Source organism: Homo sapiens, chromosome 3, assembly GCF_000001405.40.
Source record: "Homo sapiens chromosome 3, GRCh38.p14 Primary Assembly".
NCBI lineage: Eukaryota > Metazoa > Chordata > Mammalia > Primates > Hominidae > Homo > Homo sapiens.
Genome location: NC_000003.12, coordinates 130,550,887 through 130,571,866, shown reverse-complemented (window position 1 = coordinate 130,571,866; position 20,980 = coordinate 130,550,887). Strand labels below are relative to the sequence as shown.

General features: G+C 39.9%; 1 protein-coding gene across 16 annotated transcripts in view; it reads right to left on the bottom strand.

The window, feature by feature from the left end:
• COL6A6 (collagen type VI alpha 6 chain) overlaps window positions 1-20,980 on the bottom strand; it is a 160,323-nt gene that overhangs the window by 105,176 nt on the left and 34,167 nt on the right. For 8 of the 16 annotated variants that reach the window (XM_017005713.3, XM_017005711.3, XM_011512426.4 and 5 more), the window contains 7 exons: window positions 11,665-11,743; window positions 11,439-11,533; window positions 8,203-8,799; window positions 6,253-6,873; window positions 4,605-5,165; window positions 3,263-3,820; window positions 474-1,049 (listed from right to left, as the gene is read on the bottom strand). In XM_017005713.3, coding sequence (XP_016861202.1) covers window positions 474-1,049; window positions 3,263-3,820; window positions 4,605-5,165; window positions 6,253-6,873; window positions 8,203-8,799; window positions 11,439-11,502 — 2,977 coding nt within the window. In that variant the 5' untranslated portion in view covers window positions 11,503-11,533; window positions 11,665-11,743. The remainder of the gene's footprint in view (window positions 1-473; window positions 1,050-3,262; window positions 3,821-4,604; window positions 5,166-6,252; window positions 6,874-8,202; window positions 8,800-11,438; window positions 11,534-11,664; window positions 11,744-20,980) is intronic. The other 8 variants (XR_924103.3, NM_001102608.3, XM_011512424.3 and 5 more) reach the window with 1 other exon arrangement.

Genomic DNA, 20,980 nt, shown 5'->3' with positions numbered 1-20,980 from the left:
CACAAAAAAAAAAAAAAAAAAAAATTAGCCATGCCTCATGCCACACATCTGTAGTCCCAGCTCCTTGGGGAGGCAGAGGCAGGATGATCACCTGAGTCCTGGAAGTTGAGGCTGCAGTGAGCCGTGATCATGCTACTGCACTCCAGCCTGGGCAACAGAGCAAGACCCTGTCTTTAAAAAAAAAGCCAAAACAAAACAAAACAAAACAACTTTTGAATTTCCCATCATTAGAAGAGTTTAGGAAGAAGTGATTAGGAATGCTGCAGAAAGTATCTCTCTTTGGGGAGAAGTCTGAATGAAATATGCCCAAGGTCTTTCCAACCCTCAGATTTTATAATATAGAAAGTCCTATGAAACAATTAGAGCTCCTTCTCTCCTCTCTGGAAAACTTGTTCCTGAGAGCCATTGCTTTGCTTTCTCTCTCATTTGTCCCTCTGCTAATAATTAGGAAAAACTTAGTTGGCAAAACTTACCTACTTTTGAAGAGTTGCAGACACTGGCTGTCACATCTGAAAATATTCCCTTCAGACCTCCAAAAGTCTCCACGAAGAAGTACTTGTCGCTTGATCCTGCCATGGCTAACAGCTCCACGGGATTGGCACCATCAATCCCCACAGCCAGGACAAGAATGCCTTTGTCCCGCAAGGCCTTTGCCGTGGCATTGAGTTTATCAGCATCATGGGATTCCCCATCGGTGATCACAATGAGGACTTGGGGGACCCCCTTGTTCAGGCGGCTGCCCCGGGCTTCAGTGAACATGTGGTCTGAGAAGCCCAGTGCCTCAGCAGTATAAGTACTGCCACCCATGGCTTGGTCATTCTGGAGCACTGAAATTACCTCCAGTTTTGTGCCAAAGTCATCCAGATAAAACAGCACCTCTGGGTCATCAGCATACTTCAGAGCCCCAAACCGGACCTGATTCTTGCCCACATCAGCTTTTTTCACTAAGCCAATCATAAAATCCTTCATGATATTATACTCATCATAGTCAATACTGCCAGAGCTATCAATGACAAACACAACGTCTAAAACTTCAATCCGCTTGCATTCTGAAAGAGGAAGAGAGAGGTAAACCATATGAGATTAGCTTTGGACAGCATGGGAGACGCCTCAACCTTTTTATAAATTGCTAGTGTTTTCTCTCCAAGGGGATCATGCTGTGCATTAGAATGTCGGTTCCCTGGATAAGAGGACAATACACATACATTGGTGCTGGAAGTATACAGTTAATACTCACTTAGGTGAGCTTGTAAGATAAGGCGGGAGTCAGTGGGGGCCCACTGCAGGGAGTGGGACGAGGTCAAGTGACAATCACAGGATTGCCAGGAATAAAAAATTTTAAAAGCTTTGGACTAAAAAAATCAATTCTGTGTAAATTTTCCTGTATAAGTGGTTTATCCAACATGTGCTTTCATTTATACAATTTTTTTCTTTTTATTTTAGCCACGATCTTGAGATTTGTATTCTTAATATAAACCTTGGGGAAATGACCAAATGAAAATGAATTTGGCAACACTGTATATTTTTCATGATTCTCTGATGGCTGACTTTTCAAAGTTACTTTTTCCTCACTTTTTGACTTTTTTGAAACATCTATTTTCAGTTTTGGGTTTCATCATAGAAATAAGCCCACTTCGCACTGGGTCCAACTAAGCTGTTCTAGCATGATGCTATTAACTTTTTAAATCTGAGGTCAGCACCATGGAACAGAAAAGCAGGAAAGACCCAATTAATTCTTAATCCATGTGGAGCATGTTCCCTCCAAAGGTGCAGTGTTCCAAAACTAACTCATCCATTCTGGAGAAGGGGAATTGTAAGATGGTTTGTTATTTAGTCCTTATGTAGCACATTCTCTCTACAGGCCATAGAAAGGTATGATCCAAACATTAACTCATCCATTCTTGAGAAATGGAATTGTGAGAAAGCACCCACCCCCCAGAGGCTTGCCACATTTTCTTCTTTCGCCAGCCACTTGCTATGTAAGGGCTGTTGAAAACCTTAGAGCCATTGTACTTATCCCCACTAACTGCAGGCCATGTGTACAGGGCCATCAACAAAATTCCCAAGAAAGGCTGGCTGTACTTGGGAATTTACGTAGAAGAACTATGTCCCCGTGGTCTTTGACTGCCTGGGAAGCCTGCTTGGATTACCCAGGAGACTGGGAATACATTACTCAGTGTCAGAACGCTTCAGAAAGTTCATATTTGTTCTGGGCGAAGTTACCAGGAAATAGAAACCAGGTGTACTCTTTTTCTACAAAATACAGATCATGAGCACCAAACCTTCCAGTGGGAGTTGAACAGAACTGTTATTTGAATAAGCAAACAATGTTCCTCTCTTCCCTTTAAACTCCATGCAGATCTATGTCCTTCATTTTCAGAATGCCTCTGTCATCAAGCCCTATGGGTCACATATAAATCAGCCCCTTATATTGGCTGAGCTTTTATTTGATCATTTCCATTACTCTACATTCCCAGTACTTTTGATCATTTCCATTACTCTGCAGTTTCATGGGAAGACAGTGGGGACTAGGTTCCTTACTTCCTTTGAAGCAACCGTTGCTCAAGTCCTCTTACTATATTCCTGCTTTATAAAATTTAATAACTATCAAAGTGTTTTCGCAAACATCACCTCATTTGATACAAGTATTGGTCTTTAGAAATTGCAAAAATAAGCACCATATATAGTAGATGTGTAGGTCAAAGAGGAGCCACCTTGCCCAGGAGGATAAATGCCAGGGCTGCCTCAGCAACCCACATGTAGCCCACGTGACACAGGGTACACAGGGCTGAGCCCCTCGCCTCAAGGTAGGACCAACTCTGTAATTCATGGTCTGGAGCTCCCCATGGGATCAGGCCAAACTAGACTCCACCTAAGGTGATTTCCTTGTTCAGTTCCTACCCATGCCCTGACCTGTTTCCTACACCCCTTCTGAAAATACCTCCTCAATAAATCACTTCCAAAGAGCCCCTGACTTAACTTCTGCTTCTAGGGAACCTGATCTAAGAACTGGTATGATACCATTTTTCTTAAATGGAGATCCATCACTGTAGTGCTATTTACCTACAAATGGGAATGGGTCTAGGTAAACCAAAACTCTTCCTCACTGTCTGTTTAATTCAACAGGTCAAAGCCACTAGGAGAAACATTTCAATTAAACCAAAAGTTTACAATATGTAAATAGAATTAAATTCAAGAAATAGAGGCTAAAAAAGACATCTGTTGTTCGGATAGTCCTGCTAGTGAGTATGCCCATGCCTACCTTCACGGGGGCTGCATATTCCAAAAACAAGATCATCTTCAATGCGCTGCAGAATGTCAAAATTCTCAACATAAAAAACCATCTCGGGCCTCCCACTGATCTCCTCAAGCTGGGTGACATTGGAGCCAAACACTCCCACAGAATAGATGATTACACCTTCTTGCCGAAGCACTACTGCTGGTTCCTTTACTATGTCCTGAGCTTCACCATCCGTGATGAGGATGAGAAACTTTCTGATGTTGGGCCGGGCGCCCTTGGTGGGGCTGAAGTACTGAGACACAAAGCTCAGGGCACTACCAGTCAGGGTGGTTTGTCCAATGTGAGCCATTTGGTCTATTGCATTTGAAATGTCGCTTTGGGACATGAATCTGTTGAGCTGAAACTCTTCCTTATTGATGTCGCTGAACTGGACTACACCAATTTGCACCCGATCTGGTCCAATCTGAGACTTGCTCACCAGGTTTTTCATAAATGTTTTCATTTTGCTGAAGTTTTCAGGTCCTATACTTCCAGAACTGTCCACCAGAAACATGATGTCAGCTTTCATCTCTTTGCAAGCTGCATAGGAAAAACTGTGATGTTTATTCAAGTCAGCTACATGTAAAAAGTTCAGAGTAAACAGGAAAATCCAAAACACAAATAATTTTATATTGACATGTGTACTTAGTAATAATTAGTAGTAAATAAAGCTTAGAAGACAATAAAAGTGAGAATATTCTATTTGTTATTTAGTAACTTGCTTAAATACATAACTCAGGGTTACTCAACCTCAGCACCATTGACATCTTGGGTATCATTTTTACTGTGCCAAGTCTGTGTGTTGTAGGATACTGTAAAATGCTTTGCAGTATCCCTGACCTCTACCTCTTAGATGACAGGAGCACCCTCCAGTTATGACCATCAGAAATGTCTCTAGGCGTTGACAAATAACCTCTAAGGGTGCAAAATCACTCCTGGTTGAAAACAGGAGCTCTAAATGATTTCATAAAAGCTGTATAAAAAGACATTCATATAAACCTGAAGAACTCCTTACAATCTGAAATCATTTTATCATATTACACGTGTGGTGTACACTCATATATCTATCCTGGCAAGAAATTGTGAGAGGAAGCTGATTAATACTTATTAGGGAAATTCCTCCAAATATTTTTCTTATGCTTCAGATATTATTTAGAACAACAGTATAATGGGCTCTTAGCTTTGTTCTAGAGAACACAGTTACACAAGTTAACAAATCTCAACTTAGTAATTTATGTTGTTTTTCTAAACCAGCAATGTCAATTATTGCCAGGATAGCAATTTGCGAGTGAAGGTCAGTAGGTAAAGCCACGATTTCTCTTACCTTCTTCAGTACAGATTTCTTGAACAACTTGGTTTCTTATGTCTTTCAATGCATCAAAGTCATGCACGTAATACACTCTCTTTTCCTCTCCTGCAATTTCTCTCAGCTGTGTTTGGTTGGCCTCCTTGATCCCGATAGCATAAACTCGGATGTGCTCTTCTCTCAGTCTGTTTGCAGGCTCCAAGATGCTATCCTTGGACATGCCATTTGTCAGGACAACAAGGTGGCATGGAACTTTGTTTCCTCGCTGCTTCTTTGCTTTTTGCAACAGACTCAGTGTGAAATTCAGTGCTGCGCCTGTGTTTGTATTCCCACCCATCTGCCTGATATTCTCAATGGCCTTTCCCAAATCCTGCTTGTTGGAGTATTTATTGATCTCAAATTCCAAGTCCCAGCTGTCAGCATACTGAACGGCCCCAACCCGCACCTTATGGGGAGCAATGTTGAACATCCCTACCACCTCTGACAGGAACGTCTTCATTTCATGGAAATCTGTGGCCTGGGTGCTCCCTGAGCCATCGATAAGCAGATAGATGTCTGCTTCCTCAGTGTCCACACAACCTAAAAAGGAATCAATAAGTTGCATGTGGCATTTGAGCAAGCATGAAGAAGAAATGAGAGCACATGGAAAGAAGAACAAATATGAACCTCTTCAGACAGAAAAATGGGAAACAGCTTCTAGGCTTAAAATACATGCTTTGTTAGCTTAAAATGGGGGAATCTTAACATCCAAATGAATCGCTTCTGACACTTTAAGACTATTGCCCCAATTCTCTGCCATGAATCAGGATAAGTCTGAATATGGTAGGAGATTTAAAAAATTTGAAGCTGCTTTTTACAAGACACTTCACCCATTAGTAAATAACTGCTTAGCAAAAAGTCAAGTAGTGTGTTGGGAAATGGAGAAGGTGTTTAACTGGACAGGTATTTAACTGGACATTGTGGGCCCATGAACTCTCTTGAGCAAATTATTTACTCCTTACCCGCTCCTAGTCATCTAACTAAGGCTACTATTCATGAGTGAGACAATGACATTTGTAGTAAATATGCTATAAATATTTATGGAAGAATATACACATCTATATGTATACCAATACATAAAAATATTTATAAGTGTATATATGAAACATAAGATACATCACCCTCTGTCTCTGTCCCTGCACTGGTGGATGCTAGAATGGTACCCCACAACAAATTACATAATTACTTTTTCTTCATTCAAATCACACTCCTGTTTATTCTCTAAATTGGAATTTGGAAATGAGGAAAGATGATTTGGGTGAGAAAAGTACAAAAAGAATAAAGAAATAAAGGGAAGAGCAGGGGAACGTGAGAGGCAAAAGAGAGAAAGACAAAAGAAGAGAGAAAAATAGCAAAGGAAGGTATTCTGGAACATGGATGAGTAACAAATCCAATTAAAGCTGCACAAAAGAGGAACTAAAAGGGGAAATCTCTTCTCCCCATGCCAACACCTCAATGGCTTTTATTGTCCCCAAATTAGGCTTCATATTTTCAAGCTCAAGTAAAAGAATTAGGAACTTATCCTTCCCATCCACATCTTCCCAAGCCAATCCACTTTGTATACAGAATATTTGAAAGAGAAGAAAAAAAGAATCCAAACAACCCTTCTTTCAGCAGAAGACCTTACCAGATTTGAGCGTTTCAGTCCTCTCTGAAAAGACAGAGACTGTGTGTGTTATTTGGTTCCGCAGCTTCTTCAGAAATGTCTGGTTGTGAGCAGCCAGGTCAGCGAAGGTCTTCAGTTTGGAGACATACTGCTCAGCAGGGTGGGATGCTATCTTTTCCAACTGGGTGTCGCTGGCGCCCTCTATGCCCAGGGTGAAGATGGTCACACCCTCCCGTCGGAGGTTAACAGCTGCTTTTGTCACGTTGTCTTCTGAATCTCGGTGGGTCACCAGCACGGCAATCTGGGGCACCCCCTGATTCTTCCGACTGCCATTCCGTGCACTAAAAACTTCCTTCCTGAGCTTTTTGATGGCAGCTCCAGTATAGGCCTTCCCAGTTCGGGGAGAAAGGTTCTGTATATGCTGGAGAACCTCTGACTTATTTATGCCCATGCTCAGTGAATTTATCACTTTTGTCTCATTGCTATAGGCCACAAGGCCAACCCTCATGCAATTTTCCTTTATGTCAAGGGCAGATACACTTTCTTCCAAGAATCCTTTAAGATAGTCAAAGTTCTCCTCACTTCCATTGATTGACATATCCAATAGGAACACAACATCGGCCATAGAAGGGCCTTGGCAAGCTGTGTGGCAAGAAATAAACAAGCACAATTTTAGCTGGTGGTTCAGCATCTTTGGTGAGCATTAGAAGGCATGAAGACCATACAGCAGAGCTCAGTTATGCACTTAGAGAAGGAGGTAGACAAATAATTATGAAGTTGAGGTTAAAGAGACCTGAGTTCAAATACTACATCTTAGCTAAACTCCCGGCTTCAATTTCCTCATCTGTAAAAGGGAGACAATATTAATCTCATAGAGTTGTTATGGGGATTTAATGCGACAATATTCTTAGCATGGGGCCTGGTACATAAAATTCATTCAGTGAACCATAGCCATTGCTATCATATTAAAATCATTTAAGCATCATCCACACTATAGTCAGCAGTTACAGTCCAAATATTCCTAAGGGATAGTAACGAAATAGCAATTGCATTTTCAGTTCTTTTATTTGGGAATGATGCTAGTAATAAGGACTCATAGTTTCACAGATGACCCCAAGGAAAGCATTCTCTATTATCAATAGGTAAGTATATATATCAGCTCATTCAAACTGATTTAATCAGGGATAATGTGAGTTTCCTATATAACATATTTGGACATGTACACTTTGAACACATTGTTTTTTACTGGCTATCCCCTGCCCTTCACTTGAATGATGATCACCAACTCTTGACCATTCTTGTTACTAGAGTAGTACAAGAGGACAGACCAGGAGAGAAGTTTGGCCACAGATCAGAACACAGGGAAAACTAATTCAGAACAGGGCAGCAGGAAGCAAGGCAGTCTGGAGCTGAAACTACATGGCTGGGAATTGGGAGATCTGGCCTGTTAGCTCTGACTTTAAGTCACAGCCTGGCCCCTGGGCCAAGGCACATCACTTCTAAGGATATATATAAGTTCTTTTTTGCAAAAAAACAGGGGGATCTGGACTTCTGGAAGTTGCCTTTAGGTCTAACATTCTATGATTATATTATGTGGTTTTAAGAGTCAAGAATTTCTTTAGAAGCAAACTTACCTTTTCAATGAACCAGTACTAAAACTACATAGCAACTAAAGCCCAGGGAAATAGCTCAGAGATCAGCTGGGTGGCAGGGAGAAAGCATCCCTAAATTTTAAGAAGTCTGTGAATGTCAGGCAACACAGATAAGTGAAACATGAAAAACCAAGACTTCTGGGCTTCACTGAATTGAAAATGGTCATAATCACTGGACTCTCTTAAACGATGGGTACATAACATCTGAAAATGCAGCCCATTTTGGGGATAGGAATATTCATAGAATTTCAATCCTCTCCCCATTTTAATTTTTCAAAAGCGTTTTATCATCATTCCTATACACATATCCTAAGCCCACCTTCTACAAAGATGTCATCAACTGCTCCCTCCTTGTACTTTATTACATCCTTGATGATGTGTGTCATGTTTTGGGAAAACATGCTGAGGTCTCTGACTGTCCGAAGGTTGAAATGAAACTGAGACGTGGCCATGGCCTTCAGGTTTTCCTCAGAAGCTTTCTGCACCCCTACAGAGATGATTTTCACTCCGTCTTTCCGCAGGGCCTTTGATGCCTCTTCCACATTATCCTCAGACTCAGATGAAGCCAGGACCACTAGAATTGGGGGAAACTGTTTCTTGTCTCTCCCATTTGCGGGTGCAGAGAAATAAGTCCTGTGAGCCTCCTGAAGAGCCTTTCCTATCTGCAGGGACCCGCCAATGAATCCAAAGTTCTTCCTTAGGTGGTTCAGCATGGGGCTCCTGCCTTTGAAGGTGCTCAGGTGGAATTCACTGTGAAGTTTATCACTGTACTGGGCCAGGGCCACACGGTATTTGTCGGCCTCTATGGGGAGACTGCTGATCATTTTGGTGATGAACATTTTCACAAATGGGAAGGACTTGGATCCCAGGCGATCAGAGCTGTCCACCAAAAACACAACATCTGCATACTCAGGGCCTGCAAAACCACAAACATATGAACGAACCAAAAACTTTAAAAAATTTACTGCCATATTTAATGCCAACTCTATGGCGGGGAAGTACTTTCCTTTTTATTTTTAAAATACCTTCCCAATAAACCGAAAATAATAGCCTGCAACTGCACATTCTCTCAAGAAAAAGAAATAGCTGTATCTTGGGCTGATTCTTTTAAACAACTTCTCATTTGAACTTATCACAAAATTAAACATAACTTTTGCAAGGAATTGGTTAATTAGAAATAGTGATTAACAATAGTGACTGGAAAAATAAAACAGAAATAAACAGAGAAATAAAAAATCATGGGTTTTATACCTTTTGTGGATAATTTCCTCTTGTAGTTTTTTTGGCTTTTGGAATTTGATTTCAACTATGTCAACTAGATAAAAATTTTAATTGAAACTCAAACTCCATCAAATTCACTTTAATGGTAAAATCTGAAAGATGGCCTTTCTCATTTAAGCAACACAACAGTTTATCTGATTAACTTAAAACCATATAAGTTGTACATTCCAAACAGTCACATTAAGTTTAAAAAAATCTATAAATCATAAAAATATGGAATAGTCAATCTTTTTCAAGGTTATTTTAAATATCTTAATATTTTTGATGAATTACATGAATGAGCATTATATTATAATTGGTGAATTTTATTCTCACACATGCAAAATGTGATGGCACCAATGTATCTTGGGCTAGAAAAGGGATTCTAGTTTTAGTTTCCATTAAAAATATAAGTTTTATATAGGAATGTAATACTTTGCTTAACCTTTAAAGCTTCATTCATTGTTAGATTCAACACTACTTATCTGGTACTACATTTTTACATGATATAGAATCATTGGATTCAAACACTAACTGTTGTTTAGTAATGGTCTGCTGGTTTGAACTCAGAGCTCTCTCTACCTTAGCATAAGATCCATTTCTTGTCTGGGGTAGGGAGGGAAGTATATGTGTGGTGTATGTTTAAGGAAATACAGCATAATGGAACAAGTCATGAACACCCTGACTTTACCTTCAGCTAACTCTATGAGCTCTGTCAAGACATTCAATACACTTGGGCCTTAGTTTTTTCTTCTTTAAAATAAGTAGATTCAGCCGGGCGCGGTGGCTCACGCCTGTAATCCCAGCACTTTGGGAGGCCGAGGCGGGTGGATCATGAGGTCAGGAGATCGAGACCATCCTGGCTAACAAGGTGAAACCCCGTCTCTACTAAAAATACAAAAAATTAGCCGGGCGCGGTGGCGGGCGCCTGTAGTCCCAGCTACTCGGGAGGCTGAGGCAGGAGAATGGCGTGAACCCGGGAAGCGGAGCTTGCAGTGAGCCGAGATTGCGCCACTGCAGTCCGCAGTCTGGCCTGGGCGACAGAGCGAGACTCCGTCTCAAAAAAAAAAAAAAAAAAAAAAAAAAAAAGTAGATTCAACTAGAAAACATCTAAGGTACCTCCTCACTCTGAGATTCCAATTATCTAAAATGGTTACTAGGTAAGTTCTAATCAAATTAGAATAACTTCAATCTTTTCCTTTCTACACTGGCTGGGAAACCAGCTTTGGCAGACCTGTGTGTTATTTCATTCCTTTTATGGCCATCTGATCGAGGCATAATGGGTAAAATAATTTCTTGTCTTTTAAATAACCCAAATCTAACCACTCTGAGATTCTTTTCATGATTATACAGCCAGCAGCATCTCAGGGGAAGAAATAAGTGAGAGTGTATCAACACCTTCCTCCCAAAGAAGCCTGAAACCCTGTGAAGACTGCCAGGGGAGCCCTGCCGTGGGTGGCTTGATTTGTGACCACCAGTGACTTTCTATTCATGAATGAAGCCCTACATCTTTTGTGGAGAAAGGAAATGTAGATGAGTGGCACATAAGGCGGACTCAGGTTCTGATAAGGTCCATCACTACGTCTGAACCATGAAACAATGGAGGAAAAATCATGGCTTCTACTTGAGAAGCTCAAGGCTTAGAGATACATCAAAGGAAGATGTTTGCAGGGCAAAGTCTGGTTTATGTCTTCACAAAACTTGCTTACAAGGTCAGTGTCCTCGAGGAAGTTGTAAAAGCCAATGTAAGTTGCTCTGGACAAGAACCAATTATTTAGGAGATGGTGAGGTGGTTAAGGGTGTGCTAGTGTCTTAAGTCCACAGGACAGAGATTGCCAACAGACAGAAGGCAGTGCTATGAAGCTTTCTCTCCAGGGAAAAAGCACTTTCTTCACAATAAGCAGCCAAATAATTTAATCTGGAGCAAATCTGGACACTAAACCAAGATACCCTTTTGACACAAATGAATTAGGATGGGACATTCCAAGTTTTCCAGGCCTGAGCCTAATATTAACAGAATTTTTATGCAACCTCCCAGAAGACCTAAAAGGGGTTGAAGCAGGACAAAATGACAGCTCTCATATCTATTATTAACAAGGAATAAGATCCAGAAACAAATGATCTTCAAAGGAATATGGAGTGACCTTACAAAGAATTTGACTTACCGCCCTTAATCTCACTACCATCAAAATCAAAACAAAGTGATACAAAACTTGTAACTTTTAAATAGGTCAAACTCATGTATTATCTATTTTCTATAATCAAAATTAAGAATTCTTTCCAGTTTTTCCTTACCGGAATCTTGGTTCACAGAAATATGGGAACAAATTATCACGAGGAACAAAATTAGCAACATCATATTATGACCTGAAAAATCTTCAACTTCAAATCTGAAAAGGCAAAAATATAAACAAATTGTTGTGGATATTATTTGGGAATTAAGACTCACATACAAGAGCATACAAAATTATATAATAAATTGGGTGTAACAGGGGACAAGGAATTTCTGAGGTTCACTGACCTTCTAATATGTGAAATGCCTTAGAGAAAACAATCCATCAATATTTACAAAGTCGTAAGAGTTTTTCTTGTCCCCAGACCTAGTAGAAACATGAAATTTTGGACAGTTGGTAGAAGGAGCCAGATGGATTTTAGTGCTAACAATATTACGCGTTCCTAGTATTTATTTTCCTGTACCCTAGCGCCATCCTCTATCTATTCATTGCTAAGACAATTCAGGGTTCACAGTTAGGACACACCCCAAGACCTATTTCATAATCTCGCCATCATGAATATGTAGGTGTACTTTATCTTTGAAGACTAATTATTTTTAGATGTGATCAAAATTACACGTTTTTTCCTTTTCCTCCCTAACTGAAACAGTAGCTATTTCAAAACAAGCAGTGATTTTCCATATTCCATATAATGTCTTGCTCCTCAGAATAAGGAGCTCAGCTTACACCATTTTATGTCCAACTTCCCAGAACTGCATGAGGCAAGGGTTTTCCAATCTCATTTTGGCCTAAAGCATTTTCAGCCACCTTGAAATGTTCATTTTATGGAATGAAGCAGGATATTAAATGCATTGAAAATAAATATTTAATGAAGCAGGTTGGGCTTATTTTTTGCTCATTTATTAATTGAACAAAAAATGAATTGATCCATTAATAAACCAGTGTCTCCATGTCCTGCTTAATTGTGCAACACTATATATGTTTATCTCACCCTATACCAGGCAGGCTCTGAGTTTCTAATATTCAATCTCTTCAGAAAAGGGACATTTATCATGAGAAGTTCCATCCCTGTTTCCTCACCTACATCACTGTCCTTCTGACATTCTGCAACTTGAGACTCTCTTCTAGTCCTTCACAAGTCTAGACGATGTAGAGTTTTCAGTCTGTATATAAATTTATTAGTTCTATTCAAGTTGTAACCAGTGAGCTAGAAAAAGATGTCAGGAGGCAATGTGTAGTACAAACCTTTTCATTTTAGAGAAACTAAGTCCCAAAGTGGATTTCCCGAAGTGAAAACCAAGTCATACCATCTGTACAATTTTTATTAATGTGTATAACAATAAATAATAAATTCTGCCATTTGTTGAGCTTTCACTATGAGCCCTGCCCTGTGCCAACAGCTTTACATTTGTTCTCCTGTTTGATATTGGTAACAACTCTAGCAGCAGGTATTATTACTATTCTTGTTCTTATTTTGCAAATGAGGAAACAGACTTTTAAGGGGAAGTAACTGATGCAAGGTCACATTGGTAAAGTGAGCCACAATTTAGACTAGAACCCACATCTGCCTGACTCCAAAACCTTTAAAACTCAGTTACCCTGCAGATTAAACTCAATGTTATGAACACAAAATGTCTTCTAGTTTCTTCATTCTACATCTTTTTTCTAAGAACTAAGAGACTTTGGTACTTGTTTTCATACCTTTTTATTTTTGCTTATAAAACCAGGGTTTTACACTATTTTCTTCCTTTCTGTTTATATTATGAGCTTTATAAATTATTGTAGTCTTTTGGAGTTATGAGAGAGAAAATGCTTTGGGAAGAATCCATAGGGCCAATGTCAAAAGTTTGCAAACAGTCACAATGGGAAGAAATCGGTATTGAGTGAAGGATGAACATCTGGACAGAGAAGCGAGGATTTGGAAAGGCTACAATAGTCCCAAAGCAGCATGCAGCATCTGGAAATTTCCATATGCAGATGTCAATCAATACCTCTAGTATTTACTCAAAAGTTAAGTTCTCTGGATTAGCATCTTGTGGAACAATTTTCTTGCAGTCTTTCAATGGAATCCAAAGTCTAGTGTGCTGTAAGGCTATACAATGTTGAAGCCCGGTGAAGCGTTCTTGAGGTGTGTGTGCCTGACTTTGTGTGTGCATGGGGTGGGTGGTGTATGATAAGGCAAGCTGTAGGACCAAACCTCCAAGGTCATGCTCGGGAGGTAGGGAGAATGGGCTCATTTACACTGTATCAAAACACAGATGAAGTGCCTGCAATCTGTATGTTGTTCTATTACCAGTTATGACCAGGATTTTCATACTTACATTATAAACAAACATAACCGATCACCTGAAGACAAGTGAGGGGAGAATGAAGGTGAGGTTTATTTAAAGCAATCAACATAAAATTTAAATTCATAGTAAGCTCTATCTTAACAGTGAGATTAATTGCCTCTCATTATAAACACTCTCAAAGGTACATGTCTCTTTAATCTGAATATGTTTTGCATTCAATTCATTCTGAATCAAGTAAGCTGAGGCTAATACTTTCTCTTTATATGCTATAAAGGTCTTTTTAAAAAATCTAGATCTCTGTAAACTAGAATGTTTCTAATTTAAACTACAGCTGCAAAGCAACACAGCCACCCAAGACTTGGCTTCAAACCCAGAATGTTTAGAACTTGTACAACACCTCTTGGGGCTATTAAGAACGCGGAGTCTCAGAGAAACTTCTGCTCCATACAAACCAATTCATAATCCAAGTCCTATCTCTGAAAAAAGGTACTAAGAGCCCATAAGGGAAACAAAAGAGACTTCAGCAAAATTAAGATAAATATTCTTCCTTTAAAATAAGGTATGCAGGATACATCATTTTTAAGTACTGATTTTATTTTTCTTCAGAAACAAGATTATCACTGTTTTACTGTAAGAAACAACATTGGGTCTCTGCCACAGTGTTAAAGATAAATGATCATTTGCTTATTTAACCCCTGATGTCTTCATTATTTCCTTTCTGCAAGCCATTCTACTCTGAAGTCAAAAAGTAAAAAGAAAAATATTCAGAGTGAGCCTTAAGTTCATGTTAAAATGCTGCAGGATAAATCCTTGGCACGCAATAGGCACAGACAAATATTGAATAAATGCTGGTGAGAAAAACAAAACAAAAGCACTTGTGGTACAAGCAAGTTGCACAGTTTTTACTTTCCCCCAGTTGCATTTTCTGGAATTACAAAAAGGAGCTTTGTATGTTAATCATATTTGAACAGGGTCATGCAGGTGAACTTGCCACTTTATAAAATGATACTCTCCTGTGTAGAGGAGGTGTTTGGCTGAGTGAAAAGTGCACAGGCTATAAGGTGTCATGGCCTGGGTCCAGCTCCATTCCTAAACTGCCGTGTGACCTTAAACACCATCACCTAGGTTCCTAATCTCAAGCATAAGGGATTACAGTCTCTCTCAGTCCAAGCAGTTCCACACCTTAACAGTTTTCTGACCTAACAAATACAAGTAAAATAAATAAAAATATGAATAATTAAGCCAAGAGCACATTTGAACACTGAACGCCTGTTTTGAAACCATCCCCTGGAGAAAACTGCCCCTCAGATGACCACCTATGGCAGGCCCTCTGTGGGAAGGGCTGGCAGTAGCAAGGGAGGGAGCATGTCTTCAGCGCTGATCCTTTCTGGGTCAAAACTTGTTGGAATCCTTCAGGATTCACCCATCTACATGAACTTCAGGGGACTAAAATTTTAATAGTGCAAAGAATCCACTAGAAATTATGTGCCCAACACAGAAATTAGAAAAAAAGAATAAATCTAAGAAATAGATACTACAATACTAAAAATTAAAGCAGAAATCAAACTCAAAAAGAAAATTAATCTTTGAAAAGAAAAATCTCAGAACAGACTGATCAATAATAAAAAGAGAAAATGCAAATAGATAATCATATAAATGAAAAAGGAGATACAACTAAGGATAAGGAAAGTATTTTAAAGAAATTGTAGTTAAAAATATTCACAGAAAGTAAACACCAGGCCTTTGGAAAGTTCCACCAACCTTTCAAGAAACAGATTATCTGAATCTTTTATAAAGTATTTTAGAGAGCAGAAAATAAAGGAATATCAGCCATCTTATTTGTATAGGGCCAGTATAATCCTGATATATAAATCAAACAAGGACAATATGAGAAAGGAAAATTAAAGGCCCATTTCACTCATGAAGATAAATATTAAAAAATCCTAAACAAGACATTAGAAAATTAACTCCCACAGTATATAAAAATCATGCCTTTTGCAGCAACATGGATGGAACGGTAGGCCATTATCTTAAGTGAAACAACTCAGAATCAGAAAGCTAACCACTGTGTGTTCTCACTTGCAAGTAGGAGCTAAATAGAGTGTACCCATGGACACAGAGTATGGAATAATAGTCCCTGAAGACTGAGAAGGGCAGGAGGGTTGCAGGGGAGTGAGGGATGAGAAACTGCTTAATGGGTACAATGTACACTACTTGGTTGATGGTCACACTAAAAGCCCAGATTTCACCACTACACAGTATATCCACTTAAAAAAAAACTGCATTTGTATCCCTTAAACTTATAACAAAAAAGTTAATACACCACTATCAAGTTGAGTTTCTCAGAAATGTAAAGATGTTTTAAAATTAAGAAATACATAAATGTAACGCACATTAATAGCTTAAATAATAAACTATAAATATTTTTAAAACCCCACAAAAAAAACCAAAAAACACCCATCATTCAATTCATGATTTTAAAGAAAAACTTAGCAAATTAGGAGTAGAAGGAAACTTACTTAACCTAACAGAAGATATATTTTAAAAATCTGGAATACATATCATCCTAATGGGGAAATGTTAAAAGTATTCTCTTTAAAATTAGGAAAAGGAAAAGGTGATCCACTCTTATTCCTAGGTGCTAATGAATTTAAAGCCACAAAGATTGAAAAAAAAGAACAGGGACAGGGGGCAAGATGGCAGACTAGCCGTAGCCAGGGGATCATTTGTTAGCAAGGGACTGGGACACTGGGGAGACTGACACACTCTCAGACCTTCAGAGCAAAGGCATTGAGAATGGACAGAGGGAGGACACAGATCTGGGGCTGAAGAGGGAGGAAGCTGGGAACCACGCATGGGACTACCACACACCAGGTCTTGTTCCTGGCACCCAGTGACTCCTGGGGAAGGGGTGAGTTCAACAGGTGAGGAGCAACTTGCTCTCATTACAGACTTCTGGAATCCTGGAAGCATGAGACCCCAAAATCGACACTGGAAATGGCAGAGAAAGCTGCTTAGAGAGGTGGTAGGGGCAGGACTCCAGCCTATGCAGAGCCCAAAGAGTTTGGTGTGGGAACATATGCAGTGGAGCGTGGCCAGAATGCCCACGCCCTAAAGCTCACCCTGCCTTAGAGGAACTGTTGGACCTGAACAGAGTACGGCAACATTGTCCATGAGATGGAGCCAGTCTGACCTGAGTGCTGCCCTGTCTGCTGGCCTCTTCTGGGGCCCCAGCCTGGCTGCCCAACTGGGGTACCTCAACTGAGGTACCTCTCAGGGGCCCACGTCATAGCTCCTATGCTGGCCGACTGTGCCTGACCCTCAGAGTGCTCCAGCAGAGCAGTCCCTGCCAATATACACTAGCTCACTGACATGTTCCCCTCCCCCACTGCAGCCTCCCATGTTGCTTTCTTTACCAGTGAACACTCACCCATGGCCACCCCCTGCATCACTTTGCCAACATGCATGCACATGAGAAGACCTCACCTCCCCTTCTCCACAGGTGGATGTGTACACCTTATGGTGTGACTGCTGCCAGTGTGAGTGCACCCTGTGATCCCTCCACCACACCTCCAATGCCAGCATGAATGAGTGCATGGAGACCAGTGGCTCCCCTGCCCCACCGTTGCCACTGCCATCTGCATGAACACACACAGGGAGACCAGTGGCTCTGCATTGCCACCCAATGTGAATATGCACACAGAGGCCACCAGCCTCGTGCCCACCAGCACCCCATTCCCAGACTGACACCACTGCCAGTGTGAACGTGTACAGAAACACCAGCACCTCCACCTCCCAGCACCACCACTTTCATGAATGCCTAGATGGAGGTCAGCACGTCTGCACCAGCCAGCAGCCCACCCCCATGTCAACACCATTGCCACTGTGAAAGCACACATGAATGCCAGCAGCCCCACTCCATCTTGTGCTGCCACTATTATGAATACCTGCACAAGAGCTGGCACCCCTATACCAGCCAAGAAATGTGCACTCCAATGCATTATTGCTGCTGGTGCCACATGCAAAACTGCACAGAGCTTGCTGCCACCATCCAACAAAGCACTTTGGCTAGCACTACCCACTAGTGTGTTGTGTCCAGCAGTCCAGGGACACATTGGCCCCTTCAGCACAGTAGGTTCCTAACCTCAAGGGGCCAGAGAACAACGCCAGGGGCCTGATAACAGATCCACAGAGTTAGAGCATGCAGTCCAGCAGTGCTAAGCTGGGGCTTGGCCCCCTAGAATCTTCCAGAAATGATGCCAGTCAATACAACCATTCTTATACCACAATCAAACTCCCAAGGACATCAAAGATGAAAGCAAAAAAACAAAACAAAACAAAACAAAAAAAAACACAAAAAAAACCCACCGCAACACCCATTCAAAGGACAGCAACTTCAAGGATTCAAAGAACATCAGCCCATAAAGATGAGAAAGAATCAGTGCAAGAACTCTGGCAACTCAAAAAACCAGAGTGTCTTCTTACCTCCAAATGACCATACCAGTTCCTCAGCAATGGTTCTTACCCAGATTGAAACTGGCTGAAATGGCAGAAAAAAAAAACCCAGAGTATGGATAGGAATGAAGATCATCAAGATTCAGAGAGAGAGTCAAAATCAAATCCAAGGATTCTAAGTAATACAATAAAATGATACAGGAGATGAAAGAAGAAATGGTCATTTTAAAAAAGAACCAAACTGATCTGATAGAGCTGAAAAACTCACTTTAGGAATTTCAGAATACAATCCCAAGTATTAACAGCAGAATCAACCATGCTGAGGAAAGAATCTCAAAGACCACTTCTCCCAAATAACCCAGTCAGACAAAAATAAAGAAAAAACAAAGAAGAAGAATTAACAAAACCCAAAACCCTAGAGAAATATGGAATTATGTACAGAGACCAATCTATGACTCATTGGCATTCCTGAAAGAGAAAGAAAGCAAACAAACAACTTGGAAAATATTTTTCAGGATGTCATCCATGAAAGTTTCCCCAACCTGGCTAGAGAGGCCAACGTTCAAATTCAGGAAACGTAGAGAACCCCTGGGAAATACTACACAAGATGGCCATCCCCAAGACACATAGTCATCAGATCCTCCCAGGTCAAAATGAAAGAAAAAAAATGTTAAAGGCAGCTAGTGAAAAGGGGCAGGTCATGTACAAAGGGAACCCACCAGGCTAACAGCAGATGTTTCAGCAGAAACCCTACAAACCAGAAGAGATTGGAGGCCTATATTATTCAGCATTCTTAAAGAATTTCCAACCAAGAATTTCATATTCAGTTAAATGAATCTTCATAAAGGAGAAATAAGGTCCCTTTCAGACAAGCAAGTGCTAAGGAAATTCATTATTACCAGACCTGCCTTAAGAGAGACGGTCCTTAAAAGACTGCTACATATAGAAAGGAAAGACCATTACTGGCTACCACAAAAACACACTGAAGTACATAAACCAGTGACACCAGCAACCACACAAACAAGTCTGCATAATAACCAGGGTTAAGTTAACAACACGATGACAGGATGAAATTCGCACATATGAATACTAATCTTGAATGTAAACAGGCTAAATGCCCCCAATTAAAAGGCAGAGAGTGGCAAGTTGGATTAAGACCCAACTTAATCCAACCTAATAGTATGCTGTCTTCAAGAGACCTATCTCACATGCAATGACACCTATAGGCTCAAAGTAAAGGCATGAAGGAAAATATAGCAAGCCAACAGAAATGAGAAAAAAAGGAGGTCTTGCTATTCTAATTTTAGACAAAACAGACTTTAAACCAACAAAGATAAAAAAAAGACAAAGGACATTACATAATAGTAACAGGCTCACATCAACAAGAACATCTAACTATCCTAAATAGGTATGCACCCAAAACAGCAGCGCCCAGATTCACTAAGCAAGTTCCCAGAGACCTATGAAGAGATTTAGATAGCCACGCAATAATAGTAGGAGACTTCAATGACCCACTGCCAGTATTAGACAGATCATTGAAGCAGAAAACAAAAATATTCCGGACTTGAACTAGACACTGGACCAAATGGATCTAATAGACATACATAGAACTCTCCAGCCAAAAGCAATAGAATATACATTATTTTCATCACCACATGGCACATACTCTAAAATCAACCAGACATAAATAATCCTCAAATTAAAAAACTAAAATCACACCAACCACACTCTCATACCATGATGCAATAAAAATAGAAATCAATACTGATCACTCAAAACCAAACAATTACATGGAAATTAAACAACCTGCTCCTGAATGACTTTTGGGTAAATAATGAAATTAAGGCAGAAATTAAGAAGATCTTTGAAACTAATGAGAACAAAGATATAACATACCAGAATCTCTGGGATACAGCTAAAGCAGTGTTAAGAGGGAGGTTTATAGCACTAAACACCCACATCAAAAACTTAGAAATATCTCAAATTAACAATCTATTATCACAACTAGAGGAACTAGAGAACCAAGAGCAAACTGAACCCAAAGCTAGCAGAAGAAATAACCAAAATCAGAGCTGAAATGAAGAAAATGGAGATGTGAAAAAAAAAAAAAAACCCAAAAGATCAACAAATCCAGGGTTGGTTCTTTGAAAAAAATTAATAAGAGATGTTAGCTAGACTAATACAGAAAACAAGAGAGAAGATCCAAATAAACACAACTAGACATGAAAACGTGGGCATTACCACTAACCCCATAGAAATACAAAAAACTCCGATTCCTATGAACAGCTCTATGAACACAAACTAGAAAATCTAGAAGAAACAGATAAATCCTGGACACATACAATCTTCCCAAGAGTGAATCAGGAAGAAATTGAATTCCTGAACAGATCAATAACAAATTCTGAAATTGAATCAATAATAAGCCTACCAACCAAAAAATGCACAGGACCAGGTGGATTCAAAGCTAAATTCTACCAGCTGTATAAAGAAGAGCTGATACTATTCCTACTGAAACTATTTCTAAAACTTGAGGTGGAGGGACTCCTCCCTAACTCATTCTGTGATGCCAGCATCACCCTGATACCAAAACCTGAAAGACATACACACACACAGAAAAAAAAAAAGCTTCAGGCCAAGATCCTTGATGAATGTAGATGTAAAAATTGTCAACAAAATACTAGCAAACTGAATCCAGCAGCACATGAAAAAGCTAATCCACCATGATGATCAAGTGGACTTTATCTCTGGGATGCAAGTTGGTTCAACTCACACAAATCAATAAATGTGATTCATCACACAAACAGAACTAAAAACAAAAACCACATGATTATCTCAATAGATGGAGAAAGGCTTTTGA